At 41.5% G+C, this 19,478-nt stretch overlaps 1 long non-coding RNA gene across 2 annotated transcripts in view, besides 2 other annotated features; it reads left to right on the forward strand.

The window, feature by feature from the left end:
• Positions 1-19,478, forward strand: part of LOC107985072 (uncharacterized) — a 55,255-nt gene that overhangs the window by 9,826 nt on the left and 25,951 nt on the right. The window lies entirely within an intron of this gene.
• Positions 15,009-16,208: an enhancer, noted in NCBI's record as "CDK7 strongly-dependent group 2 enhancer chr17:39109689-39110888 (GRCh37/hg19 assembly coordinates)". NCBI's record gives its function as "activates an origin of replication core promoter dependent on BRD2, BRD4, P300/CBP, MED14 and CDK7 cofactors, with strong dependence on CDK7, by STARR-seq in HCT116 cells {active_cell/tissue: HCT116}" and the evidence as "EXISTENCE:reporter gene assay evidence [ECO:0000049][PMID:35650434]".
• Positions 18,107-19,306: an enhancer, noted in NCBI's record as "P300/CBP strongly-dependent group 1 enhancer chr17:39112787-39113986 (GRCh37/hg19 assembly coordinates)". NCBI's record gives its function as "activates an origin of replication core promoter dependent on BRD2, BRD4, P300/CBP, MED14 and CDK7 cofactors, with strong dependence on P300/CBP, by STARR-seq in HCT116 cells {active_cell/tissue: HCT116}" and the evidence as "EXISTENCE:reporter gene assay evidence [ECO:0000049][PMID:35650434]".

Below are 19,478 nucleotides of genomic sequence, written 5' to 3' on the forward strand. Positions count from 1 at the left end.
AAATGTATGTTGACTCAATCATAAACTTTTTAGAGTCAGGATTTTAACACAGGTCTCCTGATGCCATCAACTTCTGCTCCTTTTAGGACTGTGAGTTATAGAACTAGAAAGTAGGAAAACGCCTCTCCTGGGTATAGATTAACCATCCATGAAGGCCAATCTTTTCCAATTACAAATAAAGCCACCCAAAAGCACACCAGCTCTGCTCCTCCCAGTCTTACAACAAAACCTTATCAGGGAAGAGTCTCTGAATATTTTTTATTTCACTGTGCACGAGCTGGAAAAATGAGCCTCCAAGCCTCAGGGAAGCTTGGAGAGTGCTTAGAAAGAGTGCCGACAGTCACTTACATCTCAGATATGAGAAAAAGACAAAAGAGACAAGTGATAAAAATAGAGCAAATGAGGGAACTAGAGAGACTTGTTTGGCGAGTGGTGGCAACCAGTGTTCTGTGGATGTGGACGGTTCCTGGTCATCAAAGTTATGGTCAGCTCTGGTTCCTGTTCGCCTGGACCCAGACTTACCAAGGAAGAAAACATTTACCTTTAGCATGTGCAAGGGCCGGGCTGCACTGCCTTTTTCTAAATTCTCTCACCAGAATCTACAATGAAATTAATGCTTCTCTAATTATTTCAGGCATGTCTGAGTGGCAGTGACTTATCAACCCCATAGATTTGGCCACTGTCTCATTTTATGTCCATGTGTGGGAGTTTTGATTTATAGGACTTATCCTTGAGCAAAAGATTTCTTGTGTCATAGCAGGACCAGGGCCAGGAAAAACTGGTGGTGAGATCTGAGAGCACTGGGGAGAAATAGTCTCTTCTAGTACTGTTATATGATGGTTTCCCATAACTTCTTTTTTTTTTTTTCTCAAGATGGAGTTTTGCTCTGTCACCCAGGCTGGAGTGCAATGGCGCAATCTTGACTCACTGCAACCTCCGCCTCCTGGGTTCAAGCGATTCTCCTGCCTCAGCCTCCCGAGTAGCTAGGATTACAGGTGCGCACCACCATGCCCAGCTAATTTTTTGTATTTTTAGTAGAGACGGGGTTTCACCATGTTGGCCAGGCTGGTCTTGAACTCCTGACCTCATGATCTGCCTGCCTTGGCCTCCCAAAGTGCTGGGATTACAGGCATGAGCCACCCTGCCCAGCCAATTTTCCATAACTTCTTTTTTTTTTTTTTGAGACAGAGTCTCGCCCTGTCGCCCAGGCTGGAGTGCAGTGATGTGATCGTGGCTCACTGCAACCTCCACCTCCCGGGTTCAAGCGATTCTTCTGCCTCAGCCTCCCGAGTAGCCGGGACCACAGGTGCGTGCCACCACGCCCGGCTAATCTTTGTAGTTTTTAGTAGAGACGGGGTTTTACCATGTTGGCCAGGCAGATCTTGAACTTCTGACTTTGTGATCCACCCACCTCGGCCTCCCAAAGTGCTGGGATTATAGGCATGAGCCACCGCACCCGGCCCTGGTTTTCCATAACTTCTAATGTGTAGAGTTCCATTGGATTTTAAAAGAAATGATGCTTTTTTAAAAGCATCATTTTAAAAGCATTAAAAGAAATGATACATGCTTATTATACAAAATCAAGTGATACATGATGGTACAGGAAAAAATATTTAAAAATTCTACCACACACACACAACGTTTGGTGACATTTGGTGAACATCCTTTCAGATACTATGTGTATGTATTGGAAGACAAAAGAATGGCTAGAATAATTGGAAAAATGGGCTCCTGCGACTTATTCCATTTTAGAAAAACTTAAGTCAATTAACACATTTTAATTGGCAAATAAGGAACTAAAATGAATTCACTTTAGTGACATAGTTTTTCTAGAATTTAAAAACGTTCATCACATTCTTTTAAATTTTACATTTTTAAGAAGGATAAAATGGCCTGTAAATGCCAGGATTTTTGGAATCGCAGGACTGGAAAGAAAAGCAACGCTGAGCCACTTGTTGCAGATTTTTGCTTTTAGGGAGGACAACGGCAGAGTGCTGAGCTTGTTTTTGAAGTATTCTTAAAGAACGCGAGGGATGAAGCCTCCAACTGCTTCCTCAGTAAATGGCCAACATTTACTGATCCTTTTGGTTCACAAGCATTTCACTTGCAATATGGTTTCAGGATTTCTTTTGGTATTTCTGTAGAGTGCAAATTGTTCAGAATCAAAATCATTCTGCTTTGCATGATTTTCTGGCTGAAACATTTGTAGTTTTCACATTTGATTCATCTTTCTGATGAACTCAGTTGTCGTCTTGAAAGGGAGTGGGTACTTTGTAAGACAGCTCAGCTGTTGAGTGAATGCATGGGGTTGCATGTGGGTGTGTTGGGGTCAGAAGGGAGCCCTGTCAGAAGGTAGCTGTCATGAACTGGGTACACCGTCTGTTTGTGTGCCTTTTCAAGACAACCATTCCATTAATGAAGCATTTTATAGGCACCCGTTCTTTATAGTAGAGAAAGATGGCCAAAATGACTCTCAAATACATTTTTACTACACATGATATTTCAGCACAGATGAGTAGTAGGTCTTCAGGCAAAATTGCTATGCTATTATCCTATGAGTTGGAAGGTTACATAAGAAGATTAGACATTTATAGAAATAAAACATGCCCATTAAAAGTGGGCAAAGGACATGAACAGACACTATATACAGATACTATTTGTAAGCGACTCAAGTTGGCTGTTGTTTTCTTCCTCATTTGAAATACTGTATTGAAGACTTCATAACTCACATCATCTCTCTGTTGGCCCCTTTTTCCTGGACAAATAGAAATATGAGAAAACGGTCTGAGGATCATGCTGTAACAAAGTGTTTTATATCAGCTTTACTTGACCACTCATGCTTATGCCCTTGTAGCATCTTATCCATTGGGAAAATGTTCCCAGCTGAAAACAGTCAATTGCAGCTGCAATTTTAAACATGGAATGCAATAGATAGACTTTAAGAAGTTAGTAAAATCTCTAAAACTATATGCAAAAATTTCTCTGCATGCTTATATGCTTGCTTTTCTGAGGAATAGAAGCTTTTATTAACTGTTGTATTTAAAAATTTCAATTAGGCCGGGCTTGGTGGTTCATGCCTGTAATCCCAGCACTTTAGGGAGGCCGAAGCAGGTGGATTGATCACCTAAGGGTATGAGTTCAAGACCAGCTTGGCCAACATGGTGAAATCCCCGTCTCTACCAAAAATACAAAAAATTTGCTGGACATGGTGGCGTGCACCTGTAATCCCAGCTACTCTGGAGGCTGAGGCAGGAGAATTGCTTGAGCCTAGGAGGCAGAGGTTGGAGTGAGCTGAGATCACACCATTGCACTCCAGCCTGGGTGACAAGAGTGAATCTCCATCTCAAAAGAAATTTTTTTAAATTAATTATTATTTGTTGAGACAGGGTCTCACTTTGTTGCCTGAGCTGTGGGCAGTGGTGCAATCATGGTTCACTACAGCCTCAACCTCCTGGCTCAAGTGATCTTCCTGCCTCCACCTCCCCAGTAGCTGGGACTTACAGGCGTGCATCACCACACCAGGCAAATTCTTTTTTTAATGTTTTGTAGAGACGAGGCCTTGCTACGTTGCTTAGGCTGGTCTCAAACTCCTGGGCTCATGCAATTCTCCTATCTTAGCATCTCGAAGAGGTAAGATAAAAGGCATGAGCCACTTCACCTGGCCTCATTAACTTTTCAAAGGAGTATATAAGTTTAAAAAGTCAGGATCCAGTGATGTAAAACTTTAGTTTCCTTCCCTGTTGCCATTGAGCTCCTCCTTCTCCCTTTCTCCTCCCCCTCCTTCTCCTTCTTCTCCTTCTTCCTCTTCCTCCTCCACCTCCTCCTCTTCTTCTTCTCCTCTTCCTCCTGCTTCTCCTCTTCCTCCCCCCCTCCCCTCCTCCCCTTCCTCCTCCCCTCCTCCCTCTCTTCCCCCTCCTCCCCGCCTCCTCCTCCCCCTCCTCCTCCCCCTCCTCCTCCTCCTCCCCCTCCTCCTCCTCCCCCTCCTCCTCCTCTTTCTTCTTCTTTTTCTTTCTCTTCTTCTTCCTCCTCCTCCCCAGTCGTCATCTTCTTCTTCCTTTTCTTCTTCTCCTTCCTCCTCTTCTCCTTCTCCCTCCTCCTCCTTCTTCCTTCTTCCTTCTCTTCTTCTTCTTCTTATCCTCCTCCTCCTTCATCTTCCTCCTCCTCCTCTTCTTCTCCTCCTCCTTATCCTTCCTCCTCCCCCCTCCTCTTCTTCTTCTTCTTCTCCTTCTCCTTCTTCTTCCTCTTCTTCTTCCTCCTCCTCCCCCCTCGTCGTCATCTTCTTCTTCTTCCTTTTCTTCTTCTCCTTTCTCTTCTCCTTCTCCCTCCTCCTCCTTCTTCTTCCTTTTCTTCGTCTTCTTCTCCTTCCTCCTCTTCTCCTTCTCCCTCCTCCTCCTTCTTCCTTCTTCCTTCTCTTCTTCTTCTTCTTCTCCTCCTTCTCCTTCCTCCTCTTCCTCCTCCTCTTCCTCTTCCTCTTCTTCTTTCTTCCTTTTTTACTTTGCCATAGAGACAATACTTTAGGTTCACTAAAATTTTTGCAGTTGTGGGATATTGATTCAAGCACCTGCTCATTTAAAGTGGTTGGCTATATTTAAAATGTTTTTATTGCTTTTTATCTCATACCCCCAAACTGTGCATTTCATCTCCAATTTCATTATTGGTTGAATTCCACAGCCACAAATCATATGACTTAAAATCTTCTAACTTAGTTATTAATTTTATTGAAGATTTCCTTTAGGGGTACTCTGGTTTTATAAATAGACTAATATGACACAATTCCTACTTAAAAACTATTTTAAATTTTTATTTTAATAGTTTTTGGGAAACAGGTGGTTTTCAATTACATTAATGAATTTTTTTGTTTGCAGATGATGCAATCTATTTTTTTAAATTATTATATTTTAAGTTCTGGGTTACATATGCAGGTTTGTTACATAGGTAAACATGTGCCAGGTGGTTTGCTGCACCTATCAACCCATCACTTAGGTATTAAGCCCAGCATGCAATAGGTCTTTTCCCTACTGCTCTCCCCACCCGCCCTCCCCTGAAAGGCCTCTGTGTGTGTTGTTCCCCTCTCTGTGTCCAGATGTTCTCATGGTTCTGCTCCCACTTATAAGTGATAACATGTGGTGTTTGATTTTCTGTTCCTGTGTTAGTTTGCTGAAGATAATGGCTTCCAGCTTCATCCATGTCCCTGCAAAGGACATGATGTTGTTCCTTTTTATGGCTGTATGGTATTCCATGATGTGTATGTACCACATTTTCTTTATCCAGTGTATTATTGATGGGCATTTGGGTTGATTCCATGTCTCTGCTATTGTGAGTAGTAGCTGCAATGAACATACATGTGCATATATCTTTATAATAGAATGATTTAATATTTTTTTGGCAGGCCACCAGGTCTGTTGGGGTGATATCCAGTAGCAGGATTGCTGGGTCAGATGGTCTTTCCAGTTCTAAATCTTTGAGGAATTGCCACACTGTCTACCACAATGGTTGAACTAATTTACATTCCCACCAACAATGTAAAAGCATTCCCATTTCTCCACAACCTCACCAGTATCTGTTGTTTCTTGACTTTTTAATAATCACCATTCTGACTGGTGTGAGTTGGTATCTTGTGGTTTTGATTTGCATTTACCTAATTATCAGTGATGTTGAGCCTTTTTTCATATGATAGGTTCTTTAGTGGTGATTTCTGAGATTTTGGTGCACCCATCACCAGAGCAGTGTACACTGTACTCAATGTGCAGTCTTTTATCCCTCACTCCCTCCCACTCCTACCTTTAAAGATCCTTCAGCCTCTAGATCCAACAGTTTAGTTTTATTTTGTTTGGCCTTTCAGTATTCTGTCAAATGACACAACCTATTATGTGAGGGTCTGCTCTGGGGTGCTTAGGAGCAGTTACTGATCTTTACCCATTTATACCTAGAATTCAGAGTTGCCAGTGCTCAGGAGACAAAGCAATTTAGCACCATCACCAGTAGAGAAAACCTGGTTGTCAAGATCTTTTCACATAGCTGCGATGAAGTCATCATCATCTGAGTGACATACTTATCATTCAGTACCTTGGTATAAGCCTGAGAAGAATGGGTTGGCCTAGCCCATCATACTGGTAGTTGATCCTCATTTATCATTATCACCTTCAGAGAAGGAGGGCACCTCCTCCCTCCTTCCAGCTTCCTTCCTTTTCCAGCTGACACCAAACCTTTCTGAGGAGGCAAGTGATGTTTCAGCTAGATAACTTCTTTCAAAGGACTGCCAGAACACTCTGACTTAAGCCTGGTTTTAGAAAGATCCTTAAATCCTTTTGCACTGCCTCTGTGCAAAAGGCCTGTGCAGTGATTTCATTCCCTTAACACAACAGCAGGAAAAACAGATCCCTGCAAATGGGTGGGAAGTGCTGTTGCAAAGCTGAAACGACTTCACTCTTCTTTTTCTCCTTATGATTATCTTAATCTGATGGACATGATAGGTAATCAAATAAATCCTTTACACAAAGACCGTTGTTGTTAGTGATCCTGGAATTAACCTGCGTGTTAGCTTTAGTCCTCGCTGGGCGTTACTTTCTTTTGCCTTAGGAGGAGATGTTTTGAGTTAGCTGTGGTGTTGGTAGCTGAAACATCATCTCATGCAATTTGCTGAAGTCTTGTCCTTATAGGTTTTACCTTTAGCTCAGTGTGGTTCATGTTGCGGCAGGGCAAGGGTATGCAAGGCTGTTGGAAGGTCCTTGCTCCCAGCATTCTTCCCCACTTGATAGTTGTTGCTGCCTGAAACTCAATCATGTATTTGTTTGGTTCACTCAAATATTGCTGCTTCTTCTTCGTTTTTCTTTCTTTCTTTTTTTTCTTTTTCTTGAGACAGAGTCTTGATCTGTTGCCCAGGCTGGAGTGCACTGGCGCCATCTCAGCTCACTGCAGTCTCCACCCCCCAGGTTCAAGCCTCCCGAGCAGCTGGGATTACAGGCGCCCACCACCATGCCCTGCTATTTTTTGTATTTTTTGTAGAGATGGGGTTTCACCATGTTGGCCAGGCTGGTCTCAAACTCCTGACCTTGAAAGATCTGCTTGGCTCAGCTTCCCAAAGTGTTGAGATTACAGGCGCGAGCCACTGCATGCGGCCAATGTTGCTTCTTATTCAGAAACAAACCTTAATACATTGTTCACACAAAAAACCCATTGTTTGCCTTTTCATTCATTGAACAAGTATTTACTGAATGCCTACCCTGTGTGGAGCAGAGAAGGTGAGGAGGAGGGCAGGGTGAGAGGACGCTGGTGGCGCACAGGACACAGGGTCGTTCTGGGCTTTCTCAGCTCTGCTGAGTATTTTGATCTTCAACACAAGAGATGTGGAAAATGAAGATTTTAAGCAGGGGAGTACTGCACTGTGATCTTCAAAAAGATCACCCTAGCTGTCTCATGGAGAATGAATGAGGGTGAGAGTGAAGTGGTGGGGATGGCCAGGAAGGGACTGCCCCTGTCCAGAGGAGAGACAATGGAAGTTTGCTTGTTAATTTTGATTGACTTAGTAAGATATTCAGGGATATTAGAGTAAGAGCACAGCATTAACTACTTTTCTGCCGTGAGAAAGAAGACATAATAATAGTCAATAATAAATTGACTATTATTATGTCAATAAATTGACCCTGTGGTGTGTATATGCTGCATTTGTTATTCGAGAGGATTGCATAATAGACACGGTGTCTATTATGGTACCTTAAACTGTATATGTTTGATATGTGTCCTATTCAGTAGGCTTTTAGACAGGGAGTAATCATATGTTTTGCCAAAATATTTTTTTGTTCAAGGCTCTCAACTTGCTTTATGGACAAGTAACTACCACGATGGACTTTTTCTTATGGATGTAAGAACTAAGGCAGTGAAAGGAGGAAGACTTGCCTAAGGTTGTGCAGTGAGTTAATGGCAAAGGGGCCCTAGAGCCCACTCCCTACATGGCTGCTGGTTCGTATTTCACCCATGTGCTTACAGAGACTTTACCCATGTGTACAGTGTCTTCTCACATTTACTTCTAGGTTTCTCCCTTCTATATGCGTGAATGCTGTTCTCATTACCTATTTTACTGCTCGTAGATTACTAATCACGACTCGATTTTTAGTTTGCGATACAGGTTTTTCTTTTCCCTTCCCTCCTTTCTTTTGGTTTGGAATATTTGCTTTTCAAAGCTCTGTTATTCTAACTAAAACTTTTTTTTTTTTAATTTTTGAAGATCTTCTTGATGGTGACATTTTCTGCATCTTTGTTGCAGTTTGGACTAGTGGGAAGGATTTTGGGCTAGGGGTTTAAAGTCCACGCTCTACCGTTAACCCACCCACCTAGCAACATTAACCTCTCTGGTCTCAAAGTTCTTACCATGAAAATGAGACTGCCAATAATTTTCCTTGTAGTTTAGAGGGTTGTTGTGGGGAGCAAGTGAGTTAATGTACATACATAAGCTTTGTGATCTACATGTAATATATATACATTAGCTATGTAATAGGTGTGTACTTTACATACATGAGCCACATAATTGGTATGTAACAAACATACTTGAACTATGTAATTTTCAAGCAATGTACACACATGATACATGTAATCTGTATGTAATATACATACAGAAGCTATGTAATAGGTCTGTAGGGTACACATACAAGCTTTGTAATCTGTAGACTGCTGTGCAGAGATGAGGGCAGAGGAGGAGAATGATTAAAAAACACCCGTATTCCACCCTGAAGTCAGGATCCCACAAGTCTGGACAGAGGGGAGACCGATGAAGTTGTCAGGAAGTCACAAGGGCTAGATGAAAAAGTCTAGCCTAAAAGCTATAATTCTGTCCCCAGGTGAACTTAAGGAGAAACAGGAACTTCAGGAGTTTACATTTTATAAACTTAGTCCATGTAAAGCTCAGTCTAGATTTATGCTGATGAATACCCTGGTTACCAGCTGTCAGTTCACATCCCAATTCTGCCATTGCTACCCAGTTCTTCAGTCTTTAATTTCCACAGCTGTGAACTGAGATTAATACTCAGCCCTGATTGATGGGGTTGTTGTGGAAACGAAAGGAGATAATCTATGCATTATACATTAAAAAGTACTCAGTGATACTATTATGAAAATGTGTCTGTGTGTGTTTGTGTGTGTATGTGTGAGTGTGTTAGAATACTCTATTTTAGCTAGGTGAAATAAGCCTATATCTATGTTCTGGTTTTGGATACTTTTGCTGAGAAGTCATATATATTTTTATAGAGTGTTCTAAACTTACAGAATTTATTTTAATATGCTTTGTGGCTTTTAAAATCTCACTTTTCTATATAAATTATATCCTAAACATAATCCCCAATTTTTTGTTTTGCTATATTTTATTCTTACTATTATCATGTTATCTGTTTAAAGTTATTTTAGGGCAGGCACTCTTTCCACCCTAGCAGTGAACTCATAGTTCTTCCCTAGGAAGGCTTGAGTTTCCAAATACAGGTAAAAGCCATTTCCAAATGCCTTTGGTTAGGTCCCACTCTGGTCTTTTCCTTCTAGCTCTGTCAATTAGGGAATAAATTATTGCAAAGTGTATATTGGTTAAAAAAAAAAAGGAGGAAGAGGCAGTTTTTCATGACGGTTAAAAGTGCAGGATTTGGAGTCCCATGGTCCTGGGTGTGAATCCTGGCTGTGGCACTAACTATCTGTGTGACTGGCTGTGAACCTCTCGTGCCTCACTTTCTTCATCTGCAAAATGGGTAGTTGTATAGCAAATGCACATAGAGAACACTTAACACTTTGGCACATTGGAAGCACTCAGTAAATGTTAATTGTTATTATTGTTGCTCTAAAGAGATGACCCCACAAGGTTATGGAGTATGTTTACATCTTCAAACTATTAGTTAAGATATAGCCTTAAACATATGCTCTCCTTATGTCAGAATGTTCCCTGAGGGTTGAAGTACAACCGGGAAGCTTGATTGGTTCGTGAATTTAAACACTCGTGACTTTATTGCTTACTCCAGTTTTGGTTTTGGGGTTTTAGAGAGATAATACATGGGCTGTCTCTTTTCCCCTCCCTCTCTCTGTTTCCTTTGGTGTGGGAGGAAGAATAATGGTCCCCGAAGGATGCCCAGGTCCTAATACCCAGAGCCTGTGAATAGCTGATGTTACTTGGCAAAAAGGTAATTAAAGTCACAAGTAGAATTAAGGTTGCTAATCAGCTGGCCTTAAAATAGGGAGAGTATCCTGAATTATTCAGGTGGGCCCAAGATAATCATAATGTCTTTAAAAGTGGAAGAGGGGCTGGGCACGGTGGCTCACGCTTGTAATCTCAGCACTTTAGGAGGCCGAGGTGGGTGGATCACGAGGTCAAGGGTTCGAGACCAGCCTGACCAACATGGTGAAACCCTGTCTCTACTAAACGAACGAACAAACAAACAAACAAAAAACCCCACAAAAATTAGCTGGGCATGGTGGCACATGCCTGCATGCCTGCATGCCTGCACACCTGTAATCCCAGCTACTCCGGAGGCTGAGGCAGGAGAATGGCTTGAACCTGGGAGGTGGAGGTTGCAGTGAGCCAAGATCGCGTCACTGCACTCCAGCCTGGGTGACAGAGCAAGACTCCGTCTCAAAAAAAAAAAAAAAAAGGTGGAAGAGGGAAGTAGAAGATTCAGTCAGTGTTGGCGAAGGAGATGTGATGAAGGCAGAGTTAAGGGTGACGAGATGGCTGATGGTGAAGATGGAAATGGTGGACAAGCCCAGGAATGTGAGCAGCCTCTGAAAGCTGGAAAAGTTTGGCAATAAAACAAATCCCCCCCAGGACCTCCAACACTTTGATTTTAGTACACTGAGTCCCAAGTCAGATTTCTGAAATAGAGAACAGTAAGATAGTACATTCGTGTTTTGTGTTATTTTGAGCCATGAAATGCATGTCACTTTGTTACAGTGGCAGTAGAACATCGTAGTGTCTGTGTGTTTGTGGGGGAAACATCCAGTAGGAACTCTGGTGATGGATTTTTGCTGAAGATTTGCCAGGTCTGTCCTGCAGACCCTGGCCGAGCGTCGGATGAAGGGAGTACTGACAACACAGGCGTGCAGTGTAAGAGCAGCTAGGGGTCTGCCGGCACTTAGGGCCAAAGAAGAGAGCAGCTGCGAACAGCTGAAGCTGCTTGCTTTTATTCAGTACAGACATAATGCCGAAAGCCTGGAGCAAACACAATCTGCGGGTAATTAACATTATTGTTCCCCTTTTCAGGGAGCAGTCATGTGCACAGATTATCAAAGGTCGGTTTCTGGACAACCTAAGTAAACAAGCCTGTTTACGATAAATTCCCCTACACCTCCTTGTACCTACTCCTTGCCCTCTGCCTCAGGATCAGAGAACAGCTGCCTTCAGCTTATTCTCCCCTGAAGCTATGCAGAGCCTTCTGAACTTTCAGAAGGTTTGCATCCTTTCCCTATAGTTTCTCCCACCACTCTGACCAATCTCCTACAAAGATTAAATCAAGGTGAATAGAATGTGTTTTCCATGTGATTTATAAAACATATTTTCCATACACATACTTAGTCTAGATCTTTAATTATTAGCGTAACAGCAAAGATGGTTATAGTTACTATATTTCATAAACCCTAAAAAGGCAAATTATAGGTGGATTTTTAAATTTTCAAATTAATATATATGATATACCTCAGAAAATTATAGAATTTAAATCACATTTAATTAAACATTTTACAAATAATTTTTACGGAGAAGCATAAAATTACATAAAAGGAAGGCTGTTCCTGAAGATCCACGGCACGTGGGAACCATCATTAGGGCAAATGTGAATATGTGTCTTTTATTTACAACCAAAGCCTATTTCCCTCCTGATCTCACCCTTTGTCCACAGCTCGTCTTTCATCCTTAATTATTATTTACTACATAGTCTTTGTGTCATTACTACAAAGAGACGGTGCTGTAACTGGGACGCTGGACACGGTCCCTGCAATCTTAGTCCCACTGTACATTCTGTTCCATGTAAGTGAGCTCCAAATGACCTCTTGGTTCTTCTTACTCTGCAGCCACAAAAACATATCCATTTTGCTCCTTTCTCTTTCTTATTTTGTCTATTTCTCCCAGTGCCTCTCCTGAATACACTAATATAGCATCTTCTGTTTTTTTCTGAACCCAACACGTTTGATTTCATTTCTGATTACCATCCCTCTAATTATAATTTGTAGCCTTTCTTAAAAGGGACCCTGTGGGGGTGGGGGGGGGCAGTGGGTGTGGTTGCTCACACCTGTAATCCCAGCACTTTGGGAGGCCAAGGCAGGTGGATCATCTGAGGTCAGGAGTTCGAGACCAGCCTGACCAACGTGGAGAAACTCTGTCTCTACTAAAAAAAAAAAAAAAAACCACAATTGTCTGGGCATGGTGGCGCATGCCTGTAATCCTAGCTACTTGGGAGGCCAAGGCAGGAGAATCACTTGAACCCAGGAGGTGGAGGTTGCGGTGAGCCGAGATCGTGCCATTGCACTCCAGCCTGGGCAACACGAGCAAAACTCTGTCTCAAAAAAAAAAAAAGAAAAAAAATGGAATCCTGGGGGTGGACTTTGGATATTTCATCCTATCAGCCTTGTGTCCTGTTACTCTTGGGATGGGTCAAAACCAGGAAGTCCCCTGCAGCTTTGGCAGCCCACAATTGCTGATGAAGCCACAAATTGTTGGAAACATGAATATCCGGCATTCATTGTTTTGAGCCTATGCTCGCCATGAATATGAACTAGTTAGAAATGAGACCTACACTTTCCCAATGCTTCTCCATTCAAGACCTCTTGGCTTTATATCTAGTAGAGCAGGGCTATACTGTGCCAATCTTCTAGCAATAAACTTCACACAAATCCAACAGCCTAATTGTTGTGGTTAGAATGAGAAGAGATGAAGATGCTGTTGAGTTAGGTCATCTGGTCTCCAAAGCAGAACTTCACAAGGTGATACTTTCTTGTGAAGTCACAGTGGTCTATGTCTGTTCTTAGGCTGGTGGGTTATTAGTGCACCAGAACCAAAGGGATTCTCAGGAGCTGACTCAGAGTAACCTGACTTTTAAGTGCCAGATGAAAGAGACAGAATGCAAACTTATTAATTTAACATTGAAAGATGATCCATTTTGCAACCACAGAGTTCCCAACTGCAAATCAATGCACCTTCTTTGTTGTACCTAAGAATTAGAGAAACCAAATTGTAATATGAAGGCTTTTGTCAAAAATGGAACTAGAAGAGGGATATGGGGTCTTGAGGAATGAGGTTGAAAAACTGCCTCAAGTCCACACGTGCTTAGATGGTGTTCATGAGTTCAGTGTTGCCCCTTCCTGGATTGGGCTGGACACTGTTGTGTTGTGTTTTTAGGGCTCACTTTCTCTTTTTAAAATATTTTCTTAACCACTTGAACCACCAGGGATATGGCTCACCTTCTTTAGACCTCCAAGACAAGCATTATTTCTTTAATTCTTTATAGCTTTCATTAGGCTACATGTATGACATTTTCAAACTTGAGTAATTATTTAATTGATTGGGCATTTGGAATAGAGGATTTGAGTTTGTTCAGATTTTGACTTTAACATTTACTAGCTGTGACACTGAGCAAATTACTTAACTTCTGTAAGCCTTAGTTCACTTGTTAGTAATGTGGTAATAACCATAGTATGGTAGGGCCATTGTGAGAATTGAGTGAGATAATTCATGTAAAGCATGTAGCACAATGTCTAGAGGCATAATATTTAATCAGTTTTTAATTGAATGAAAGAAGCATTACTCTTTCTACTTTTTGGCCCTAGGAGACACTGTGGCTTCTGTGCATCTGTGATTACTTTTATTATGTGTTGGCGGTGGAGAAGCCTTCCAGCTGTTTTCTCCATTGACACCATAACCTGACTCCAGGAAACATCAGGGCCACAAGAGACAAGGGTAACAGATATTGTACTAGGAGAAGGGCCATCAGTCCTCTCTGAATTGCCCTGTCATTTCAGTTGTCCACAAAAGTGATCCTGTTACAGGGATGACTTCAAACTGTTCTCCCTTCTCCTCCAGGGCTATCTTCTTCCTACTGGCCGCAAAGATTGTGAAGGTTGATACATGATGGAGAGGTCCTTTACAACTGAGCTCCCTAACATTCTGGAAAACAGAAGAGTTGGACCTTTATGTGGTTTTTACTTTGGGTCAGGTGTGACTCAGCTTTCTTTTAAAAAGAAAGGTTCTATCCTTAATATAGCACTTTCATTAGTTATCAGAATGGCTTTGCATGACTATGCCATTGTCATTTGGCTCAAGTGAAATAATTCATTAGCTCTCATGTGATTGTTTTGCCAACTGAAGTAAGCTTCACGAAGCAGTATAATGCAATCCTACTAACAAGGTTACTGGGTGCCAGGCATGCTCTAGGAGCTTTGCATGCATTAATTAATGATGTCATCTCAGCCCTATGAAGTAGATGCTATTAATAGCCCCATTTTAAAGATGAGGAAATAGAGAGATTAAGTAACTTGCCCAAGATCTCATGGTATGTGGCAGGGCTGGGAATCAGAGACCCAGCTGGTCTAGATTCAAGTATGTGTTATTAATCAGTACATGATTCTGCTTTTTAAACAAAGGTGGCCAAAGTTCTTTTCTAGGTTTTTCTAATACCTTTAAAAGGGTGCTTGTTCTGAGATTTCATCCTAGTCTCCTTTCCCCACTGAACTTAACAGAGTCCTCTTACATGGGTAGTAATTTTATTTACCTTCCACTGTGAGACTTCTCCCTGCAACCAGAGTCTATGCTGGGAGTGGGGAAGGGGGTGTTTCTTAGAAAGTGGCAGTGAAGGAAGAGAACACAGTTATTTTTTTCCGGTCAATGGAAAATGAGCTGACAGACATTTATCCTCCACAGAAGTGCAGAGAGAAGACCTTTTTACTCTTACATACAGTTGATGGGTAGTTCTTTATGACCAGCTACCCATGTTTAGAGATGTTCAGCCCAAAGCATGGTCTCTCTCTAGGTCTTCTGGGTCAGTAGAGTTAGGCAGTTTCTTTAAGGGCCACAGATACCAAATGGGTGGATACAACCCTTTCCAGGAAACTCTTGAGCACTAGCGTGCCCAGTGGCCCTCCATAACGAGCTGTAATATCGGAAATTTTTGCTTCTGGATTAGCAGAAAGGCCTTTTTGATTCTTTTTTGTTTCTGTTTTTTTTGTTTGTTTGTTTTTGGAGAAGGAAAAAGAGAAAGGAGTCCCAAACTTGCTCTCCTCCTGAAAAAAGTAAGAGATCTTACTGTCTGAGATGTTTTCTCCAGGTACGACTAGTATGTCCGCCTTGACTATTGGGTTGTTCCAGAGAGAGAGAAAGAGGGGGGGGGGTGAGAGAGAGAAAGAGAGAGAGAGAGAGAGAGAGAGAGAGGATCAAGAAAACATATTCAGAAATTTTGCTATTGTGATGCCTTCTTAAGATGTTTAGAAACATTGATATACATTTTTTCCCATGTGCATGTAAGTGGTAGCCTGTGGCTCAAAAGCATCACCTAGGAAAGCTCTCCAAATATGATGTTTAACCTGAAAGGATAATTACAGCAAACCTTTCAATGTTGCCAAACAGGGTTGTTCCCATTTGAACTGGGTGCGTGGGTTGTTCCCATGAAACTTGTGAATCATTCATGAACACACTGATCAGATATTTCTAGCCAGCCCAATACCCAGAGGATTCATTTCCTATAAAAGACATTTGATCACAGTGTTGAAACAATGTATTCAAGGTTTGCTTGCCCTGAGACTAACCCAAGTCTGTGTCACGGATGCTGATTGCCTCAGCCTAGAAATTCTTCCTAACCTAATAATGACCTATTCTCTTCTCTTTGGGGACACTTTCCTTTTCTCTTGAATTTTAATGTTTCCCCCCTTCTCTCATTTAAAGTGGATGTTTGCTTTTAAAATGTGTTTTCATTATAAAAACTTTAATTTTAAATCAAAATGGACAGAAATAGGATAAACTTACTCAGGTAAGGGATCCGTTTCTGTCTAGAGTAAGATACTTTTCTTCATTGTTTGAAAAATGGAAATTATGGGAATTAATAACAACATAGAGTCATTATCTTCTAAAGACATGAAGATCTCACTGATACCATCCAATTGCCTTTAAAAGACACTGGCAAAGTGGGGTGGGGGGGGTTGGAAGACTTTTTTTGGTGTCAGTTCTTATTTACAGAGGTAGAAAGCTAGACATGATAAGTAATGTCAGAGCTTGTAAGAGAAACTAAGGACGTAAGCTTTGAAGAGTCCATGGTGACTGCCCAGAGTCTAAGCACAGAGAAGCCAAATGGTACTTCTGAGAGTTAGAGCCTGAGGTCACTGTCTTGGGGTCCAGTGTTCTTCACATTAGGCCTCAGTCCACACCTGTTCACTACAGATGTGCCTGGGAACGAGGAGAGTGAGGAGCAGAAGACGGGGAACAAGGAGAGTGAGGAGCAGAAGAAAGAGCACTGGTCCTCTTTTCGACCCACGTACCATGGACCAGTTACTGTTCTTTCTGTGCCCCAGATTCTCCATCTCTCACATTAAAAATGCTATTAGCTGCCATCCAATACCTTCCGCATTCAAAAATCCACATATTCTCTGCATTTCTGGATGAGGGATAAAGACTCCTTGGATGATTCTCACTGGAAGCTGTGATGAGCTGGAGAAGGGTGCTTTGAAGAGTTGAAAAGCAAGCTGTTGCTACTACAGATTATTTCTGTTCTTGTATCAGGTGCTATTTGACCTTTCTAAGGAAATAAAAGTACTGATAATTCAATCCCATTATTGTGCGGCATGGATGAGTCAGTTAAATTTTCTGCCCAGCAGTTTCCTCATCTGTGAAATGGGGCTATTAATAATATCTACTTCATGATGGGGTTGTGAGGATTAAATGAGTTGATGATATTTATTAAATTATTGGTCATTATTGATTAACTCCATTTTATAAACAGGCGAATAGACACGAAGGAGGGGGGAATCTGCATGTGTGGTTGTCTATCAAGCTATGCCCAAATCTAAAAGCCTCAAATAAGTCATCAAGTCATTCAGATCTTTAAGCCAAAAGCCCCCATCAGTGATAAAGCAGTGGCTTTTAATTCAGTGCACACACTTCAGCTGAGACTTTTGTTAAAATTTGGATTCCCAGGTCCCACAGCTGGAGATGCAGATACAGGAGGTCTGGGGTAAGGCCCAGGAATCTGAATGATACAGACTCCCCTATTAATGCAATTGCAGGTGGCTTCTGGGTCACACTGGAGAAGTTTTGGCGGGACGTCAGGTAAGGGGTTACCACTAACTGAACTCTGGAGGAAAAGTTTCTGGGTAGTCTCTTCTGATCAGCAATTGCTGGAATTGGCTCTGGGAAGTAAGGATGCAAAGGGTGTGGGCTGTGTGATGGGGGCAGGTGATGGGGGACAGTTAAGGGGTGAGAGGCAAGGAGAAAGGGGGAAGCGTGGTTACTTACCTCTGTGTTTGGAAGAGTTTAAACTAGCTATGACATGAAGTGGAGTCAACAAGAAGAAAGGAAAAAAATCTAGAAAAAATATATCTAAAATATCTCCCTTTTTAAGAAATATAATTATGGACCCTCAGAGTGAGAAGCAGAGATATAGGATTTGACCTCAGGCTCTGGACACCATGCTGTGTTTCCTGATTCATGGTTGTCTTTCGAACTGTGCTAAAATTACACTTTCCCTCCCCACGAGCCCCTTTTCTGCTCTAGCTGCTGACTTATGCTGAACTGTCATAAAACCTTAAATTTCCTCCTGTGGCTGTGTAGGATACTTATTTAGCCTCCTAGTAAAAATCCAGTCTCCTTATTGCCTTTAAAAGTTTTGACCACATGCATACAACCAGCAAATGGTTTTACATTCTCTTATACGAAGAAGACACTTAAAAAAAAAAACAAAACTGCAAGCCTTCGAGTGGCTAACTCCCCTCTTTACTGTGCAGCTTATAATCATATATTTTTTAAAACCATGAATGGCATGGGGGATATTTTGCTCTCCATAGGAGGAAGGCATCCTACTTCTAGGATAAACTGAAAATGGCACTGCTGCATCAGTTCAATCTTAGCTTGAGTCCAGTGAGATTCCTCAACCCTAATTTTGTAGCTCGGAGCAGATTTTAGTGTGGATGATATATATCAAGGTCCACCTGGGCCCAGCACTGAACCAGAAAGAAAGGAAGAAGGTATTGATGGAAACGACATGTGTCTAGGTTTAAATATAGGGAATAGGAATGCCCTTCTGCAAAGCACCTTACAGTTTATGAGACCCTTTCACCATTATTATTCCATTTTATCCTTGCAGCCGTGTGGTAGGCAGGGCTTATATTGTTATATCCTATTTACTCGAGGTCATACATGCCCAGGCTGGATTGAGACTCCGTCCCAAGGTTTCTGAATCCCAGTTCCATGCTCTTTCCACATTTTCATCCTGCAGCCTGAGATAGTACGCAGTTAACTACTGACCGGAGGTACTCTGCCCACTCAGATGAGAGAGAAATTATTGATTTAAAAGAGGTCATTCTGGGAGTTCTGCATTCCACTTGCCTAGTGTAAGTTGCTACTTGTCTGGAGGAAGTAAATCATCAAGCTGTAAGTTACACAATGCATGTGTCTTTGATGTGGGCATCAGGCATTATTGACTCATTGATATGCGATACATACCCTAAGAACTGAAAAATGCTTTATTGAGTAGAATTGTGGGCCTGATCACAGGAAATCATGTTTTTTTTTCTCCTAAAAGTTAAACACTATTAAAACTCCAAAATCATGACTGGATAACTAAATTCATGAAGAAAGAATTTTAAAATGAGATAATTACAAAAATAGGTCTAGGGCTGTAGCTAAAAGCAAAACTTACATAAAAATTACATTGGGTGGTGCTTTTCAGCATTCAAAGCAGTGTCACATAAACAATTTCATTTGATCATCACAACAACCCTGTGAAGTAGGCATGATCCTCATTTAACAAACACAGAAATTAAATTTGATGAAGTCTAAATGTTTTCCCCAAGGTCACAGCTGGGAAATGCAGGTGTAGGACTTCAGGCCTTTTGACTACCCATCTGTGTTTGATTTTGAATTATTTCTTAAAACCTCTGGCAATGTCCAATGATTATTGTCAGGAATGACTTACATATTCTGAGACTATCCTGTAAGAAGCTGTGATGATGGCTGGTATATAAATGATGCCTTCTCACATTGGGACTGCCTTGCACTTACAAGCAGCAATTATTCACTATTGCTTTTCTGCAAAATGTGTGGATATTATGTCCATTTACTCTGATGGATAGATTGAAGCAGGAATCTAAGCTATGTTTTTCTTTGTCACTCTTCACAGGGAGGGGAAGAAGGGTTATTTCTTGAGAATTCCAGCTAAATGTTCCTTGTCAAACAATCAGAACAAACTCCCATTCCCTAAAGAATAGAAAGAGAAATAGCAAATGTTTAATGAAAAGACCCATGCTATTTCTTCAAAGTG

The sequence above is a fragment of the Homo sapiens genome, chromosome 17, assembly GCF_000001405.40.
Source record: "Homo sapiens chromosome 17, GRCh38.p14 Primary Assembly".
Classification (NCBI taxonomy): domain Eukaryota; kingdom Metazoa; phylum Chordata; class Mammalia; order Primates; family Hominidae; genus Homo; species Homo sapiens.